We start from the raw sequence: 7,141 nt of genomic DNA, 5'->3' as shown, positions 1-7,141 counted from the left end.
TACACCCCTTGGAAAGAGTGATCAGGTAAAAATGACAGGAGGCAAAAATAATATCAGGAATAAAAATGGAACATCATTACAGATCCTAGAACCTCCAGACATTAACAAAAGGATATTATAACATTGGATCAATCAATTTGTAACTATGAAATGGACAAATTCCTTGAAAAACAAAACTTGCCAAACCTTGGCATAAAAGGAAAACTGAAATCTGAATAGCTACTGAAAAAAATGATTTCCACAAAAGAAAGTTCAGGCCCAGATGGGTTTCACTGGTGAATTCTCCTAATCATTTAAGCAATAAACTACATTAAATTCTTCTAGAGAATAAAAAAGAAAAACCTCATCCCAACTCATTTTATGAGGCTTGCAGATGTATCCCTCTTTGCCAGGCAGCACCACTCACCACTCCCCTTCTGACTGGTGGCTGGCTTACTTCCCTCATGCCTCTGAGCAGCATATTCCCATAATGATCTGGCTGTTGTTGATCCCCATTATCACTGGGGTCACACTTTGGGTTGTGTTAGGACTGACACCTCAGTAGTCAATAGATTTGGTAGCTCAAGTTACCAGCATAACAAGTTCCCTGAGAGGGAACCCCAGAGTGGGATGGTTCCCACCCAGGCAGGTGTGTGATGGAGAGGGAGGTTTTGTTTGGGTCTATGTACCTCTTACAACTACTGATTTGTACAATGAGAAATCCAATATTAAAGGCTTACCAGTGAGCCCATGAGAGTTCAGAACTCTCAGAAGGGGAATATTCTTCACACATAACCTCACCTGGTCAGACATGCAGACCTTAATGGCAACTCTGCTCGTGGTGGAAAAGAAATCTACCATCACGGGCAAAGCTAAGGAAGAGGCAGACAAAATGTAGGCTGATAACATGGGCTACCAAATCTACTTGGCTGCTGAGGTGTCAGTCCCAACAGCCGACCCAAACTGGGACTCCAGTGATAACAGGGATCATTGTAGCAATATGCTACTCAGAGGCATGAGGGAAGTAAGCCAATCAATTGGGGAAAACTCCAGGAAACAGAACAAGACCCTAATGAAAATCCATCCCCATTCCTAGAGAGATGAGAAGTATGCCTCTGGGATTATCCCCCTTGGAACCATGACTGTGGACAATAAGGAGATAAGGCGTGCATAAGAAATATTACAGCTGTTACAGGTAGTACAGTTACCTAAAAGGTTAGTGGCGGTCCACTGCTGGGGACACCAGAGGGGAATTCTGAGGTTATAAAAGGAAATAACCTAGCAGACACAGCTGCTAAGAAGGCAGCATGAACAGTTCAAAGTTTGCAAATGACCCTGATCCCCAGATTTGTCACTCCACAAGTTTTGGCCCTACTACTCAGAAATTAGAAAAATCCAAATGGGAAAGGTATCTCCCACATTTGGATTTGGAAGGATGAGCTATCAATGACAAAGGAAGACTCCAGATTCCAGAAAACCTAGGCTGGGCTGTAATTAAATATGTCCATGAATCATCACATTTTGGTATCTGTTCTCACACTGCTGTAAAGAAATACTTGAGACTGGGTAATTTATAAAGGAAAGAGGTTTAATGGACTCACAGTTCCGCATGGCTGGGGAGGCCTCAGGAAACTTACAATCATGGCAGAAGGCAACCGGGAGGCAAGCTTAGGCTTTCTCACACGGCAGCGGCAGGAGAGAGAAGAGTGAGGAGCGAAGGGGAAAGAGCCCCTCATAAATCCATCAGATCTTGTGAGAATTCACTATCACGAGAACAGTATGGGAGAAACCTCCCCCATGATTCAATCATCTACACAGGTCTCTCCCTAGGCACGTGGGGATTACGAGGATTACAATTCAAGATGAGATTTGGGTGGGGACGCAAAGCCTAACCATATCAAAACCTTACACAATTGGTTGATGAGTGTAATAAAGGTACCCGATCCAAGTGGTCAAATAGACTAAATCTCTAACAAGTGCCACAAATATGTACAGAATAATGCTCAGACCAGGCTCTCTGTGCCTCAACTAAGGGGCGGAGGCGGGCATACCAGGAGAAGAATGGCAAATAGACTTTACAGTGATGCTCCAGGCACCTGGAAACCTCATGTACCAGCTGGTTTGTGTGGACACCTTTACTGGCTGGATAGAAGCCTTACCTTGTCACACAGAAAAGGCAAATGATGCCAGAGCTTTACTTAAAGACATCCTCTTGAAGTGTGGCTTACCTTGATTGATCCAGAGTGACAATGGAGCTGCCTTCATTTCCAAAGTTAGCCAGGGGGTATTCTCTGCCTTGGAAATCAAATGGAGACTACATGCAGACTGGAGGCCCCAGTCATCTGAAAAGGACAAAGATACTAATAGAACCATAAAGGTCACTTTAGCTAAACCATGCCAGGAAACTCATGAAAGCTGGCTGAAGTGCCTCTCCATCACACTAACATGACTTCAGCTGGCACCAAAAGGGAAAGTGAGACTTAGCCCTTTTGAATTACTATATGGAAGAGCTTACCCTGGCACAATGGAACCTTTGACATGCCCTGATGGTGAGACTGAGAGGGATGTAAAACATATTGTGTATTTAGGAAAACTAACACAAGCTCTCAATCTAATATGTGAACCTGTCTTCCAGTTCCCACTGATGTTAAGCTTCACCTATATCAACCTTGAGACTGAGGTCACCTTAAGACTTGGAAATCTAAATCACCTCAAGACCAGCTAAATCCTGTCTGGACTGGGCCCTACCCTGTGGTGATAACCACTCATTCTTCTCTTAAATTGCAGGGACTCACACCCTGGATCTGTCATTCCTGAATGAAGCCTGCACCAGCGCCCTCAGACCAGGCTTCATTAGATCCAACTTATTCCTATGAACTGGCCTCTGATCTTAAGCTCCTCTTCCAGAGAAAGGACATAGATAAGTAAAATGTGCCCTTGCAATGCTCTCGATGTATCAGGAATTTCTTCATTCTTAGAGGAATCTCTATGCTCTTTTACATTCTGTAAAAACTCTTAACTGGTGCTAAATCACCATGTAGTATATACAATGAACTTGGTCTCTCTCTACTGGTTAGTCCCTTTTATTACCATGGCCAGTGGTCTCCGGGAAGACAATACAATAGTCAGTTTTCCCCACATCACAGTGAAGGGAAATAGCCTGTTCCAATGCTGGATATGCTATAGGCACCCATGAACTTGGTCTGCCCAAGTGACAGAACTTGTGGCAATCTTCACATTTCACTTTCACCCACAGAACTGGAGCAAGCTCCCCTTCCCTGTGGTTACGCTCTTCCTGGAGAGTGGGGAAATCCCTTGCATCACCTTGACTAGCATCTCTATAGCAAATGCCACCTAGGTGTCAACCTTGCTAAATGGCTCAGCTATACAGCAAGTATGCAGAAGCTGTGCAATTCCTCCAGGGCAGACTTACTACACTGACACAGGACCAGACACAAAAGGGAGGTAACCGGTCTCCTTGAACACTACCTACCACCTGCCACCCCAATATTACTTACTGGTGTCCTGACATGAACATCACTAAAAAATATTGAGGACAGAGCAGTAAATGCAGTTCATGGTGAGGAATACCAAGCCCCAGTTTCTGGTACACCCAGGTAAACAGGCCAACACCTTATAAGAATAATGTCTCAGCTGACTGCAGGGACAGGGACCACCTGCGGGGTGGGCCGGTCTCCCTTTATGTAAAACTAATGGCACCTGGAGCCAAATAGCACCACTATTAAATGTCTTTTTTTTTTTTTTTTTTGAGACGGAGTCTTGCTCTGTCACCCAGGCTAGAGTGTAGAGGCGCAATCTCAGCTCACTGCAACCTCCGCCTCCTGGGTTCAAGCGATTCTCCTGTCTCAGCCTCCTGAGTAGCTGGGATTCCAGGTGCACACCACCACGCCTGGCTAATTTTTTTATTTTTAGTAGAGACGGGGTTTCACCATGTTGGCCAGGTTGGTCTCGAACTCCTGACCTCAAGTGATCTGCCTGCCTCGGCCTCCCCAAGTGCTGGGATTACAGGTATCAGCCACTGTGTACAGCTAAATATCTTTATCCCCAAATGAGTATGTGCCCCTCAGGGGGAATGTGTTCATCTGTGGGTCCCCCACAAATATCTACCCCACGCCTGTTTGCCTTGAGGTTCCTTCCCTTTACCCCACTTGACATCGCTCATCCCTGCACGGAGGACGTTTGGATGGAAGGACAATGTACAATTGGCCTGCGAGAGCCTCTGATATTGAGGCTGTTGAGGCGGGTCTACTACAAGTCAGGTCAAAAAGAGAAATGAGTTGGCGCTGGGCGCAGTGGCTCACGCCTGTAATCCCAGCACTTTGGGAGGCCAAAGTGGGCGGATCCCGAGGTCAGGAGATCGAGACCATCCTGGCTCGATCATGGTGAAACCCCGTCTCTACTAACAATACAAAAAATTAGCCGGGCATGGTGGTGGACGCCTGTGGTCCCAGCTACTCAGAAGGCTGAAGCAGGAGAATGGCGTGATCCCGGGAGGCAGAGCTTGCAGTGAGCTGAGATCCCGCCACTGCAATCCAGACAGGGTGACAGAGCGAGACTCCAACTCAAAAAAAAAAAAAGAGCAAGGAGTTTAATTTTGGGGGAGATGGGAGCAGCATCCAGGATGGCTGCTCTTTGGGGATTTGCTTATCATGAAACCACCGTAAAAAACTTGACTAGAAAACTTGAGTCTTTAGCATCCTCAGTTGACTCCTTGGTTACTGTGGTGCTAGGTAATGGTACAGTATTAGACAATCTTTTAGTGGAACAGGGAGGAGTGTGTGCAGTTACTAATTCCTCTTGCTGTCCCTGAGTAAACACCTCAGGGGAAATAGAAGTTGACATTAAGAAGGTCTATGCCCAAGCCTCTTGGTTACACGGCTTTTAATCCACAGGGCCATAGTTCTGACTATTTGGGAAGCTATCAAATGGGCAATACCAATTACTTGGTAATATTCTGCCCCTAGTAGAACTACTAACTTTATTGTTTGTACTACTGTTGTTTGGTCCCTGGATCTTAAATCTCTTGGTAAAATTTGTATCTTCCAGATTAGAAAAATTACAACTGCAGCTTCCAACAATACCAGCCTTTGCAGCCTATCTTGGGAGACCTCAAAACACATTTAGATTTAGTGTCTAGAGATTTTCACTCCCCTAATATCTCTGGACACGGCATCCCTAATCAGCATGAAGTTACAGAAGAAGGACCTCTCAAGAATGAGGAGTGACATATCTCCAGGGAAGGAAATTTGTAGGCCAACAGGGAGGGAATCCAGGGAGTATAGGAATTTTGTCAATTCAAGCAGTCAGCCTGTTTTACAGCCTCTTGCCTTGAAGCCAGTTTTATCCCAAACCCTGTGTGAAATGTGGTCACCTAGTTGGTTGGAACCAGCTCCTGAAAGACCCTGACAACTTACAGATGAACCCCAGTGAACTTTCCTCATGACCAAGCTAAAGCCTGCACCTCAGGAGACCTGTAGATTCATTACCATAACATGCAACCTATGTGCTGGCACCATGACTCACTGCATCTGTGCCACTGGGAACCCTCCTCTACATGCGATGATGCACCCTCTCCCCTCTCCAACACCACATAAAGTCCTCCTGTCATTTTCTCTCAGGAAACATTGCTTTGGAGAACACTCCCAGTGCCCTCCTTACTTGTGAGAAGTAATAAAACTCCTTTGGTCAAAACCTGCATTCTCATGGAAAGTCATTTGTTACTTGCCAGGGGTATAAATCCTGGTTTGTTTTTGTTTTGATAACATCCAGACAATGTTCCAAACAATCATTCATTTGATCATTCCAAACACTCATTGGGAACATACAAAACACATTGTGATTTACAGTTAAAAGACTGCTTTCTTCATATATTCTCTCCCCTGAAAATACTTGCACTGGTGGTCTTTGCTGGGAGGGGCTGAAACAGAAGCTGCCCTCAGGGAAGAGGACTGACTGAATAGGCCGGAGTCTCACCTCCAGGAGGGAAGAGGGCGGAGCTTCCCAGGTTAGGTATGATCTAGGCCTAGGATGAAGCAATTCAAAAGTGAATCCCACCACAGTTAAGAACCAGGGGCAATGATGCAGGCTCCGCTTGGGCTTCCCGCACCTGTGCAAGAACAAAAACCAAACCAAAACAAAATAAGAGGCTCAAGGTCCTCCCACACACAGGGAGGTCTGATGGCTGCAGGAGTGGCTGCACGAGGTAGTGACTCTGTGGTTTGTAGCAGGTGCTCTCAGCCCCCACAGAACTGTGCAGTGTGGGAAGCCATCCTGAGCTCTGGGGCAGAACGGACACTGAGGGAGTCCCTGGGATTGTGAGGTTGATGCCTGGATTCTTCAGCCTGCACTCAGCCAAAGGTCTCCTGGCATAGGACAAGCAGGTAGACTGCAGTTGTGAGACTCTCCACAATATGTCCCCTTCCTGCCACCTTCTGTGCGTTGACATTGCCTTGGGAACATGCCCATGGCTGGTGGCCTGGGGGAATACTGTTATAATGTGAAAGCAAGTCCATAGATTTCTGGTTTAAAGGAACCCAGTGAAGATGCTAACAAGTTCTCCTGAGGAGGTGCGCCCTGGCTGGGAATGGGAGGAGCTGGCTGGCACCTGCCACCTGGGCCTCCCAGGACCAAATCTAACTGCCCTTGGAAGGTGTCTGGATGCCACAGCCTTGGGCCTAGAGAGAATCATGCTCATCATTCCTCATCAGACTCCATCTTGCCCTGGGTTCTTTGCAGACCCAGGTTTGAGACAACAATTTGTTTCTATTCTGAATAATAATGTCTCACAAGAGGTGGAAATAGTCACATTGTTTTAGAGTTTATGTAAAGAGGGGCTTAGAGGTATTAACCCTCTCATTTTACAGGTAAATTGGCCAAAAGTGCTTCATTACCTTGCCCAGCAAGAAAGGGAAGAACTATGAGTTGACCTCATGCACCATGGGTTCTTTTCCCAGTGTCCTCTTCATGGCAGGGAGCCCAGGGGGCAGGATCTGAAAGCTCTGAACCGTGCTTGAGGGCAGGGCCTGCTCTTGGATCCAGCCTCCCAGGAAGCCTTCTCGGTGGATGACTGGCCCTTGCCAATCTTTGTACTGGGGTTTGCTGAACTTAGAGTGAGGCTGTTGAAAACCTTCCTCCATTACTT

The sequence above is a fragment of the Homo sapiens genome, chromosome 2 (genome assembly GCF_000001405.40).
Source record: "Homo sapiens chromosome 2, GRCh38.p14 Primary Assembly".
In the NCBI taxonomy this organism is placed as follows: Eukaryota; Metazoa; Chordata; class Mammalia; order Primates; family Hominidae; genus Homo; species Homo sapiens.
The sequence above is the reverse complement of the archived record's forward strand: the minus strand, read 5'-3'. Positions refer to the sequence as shown.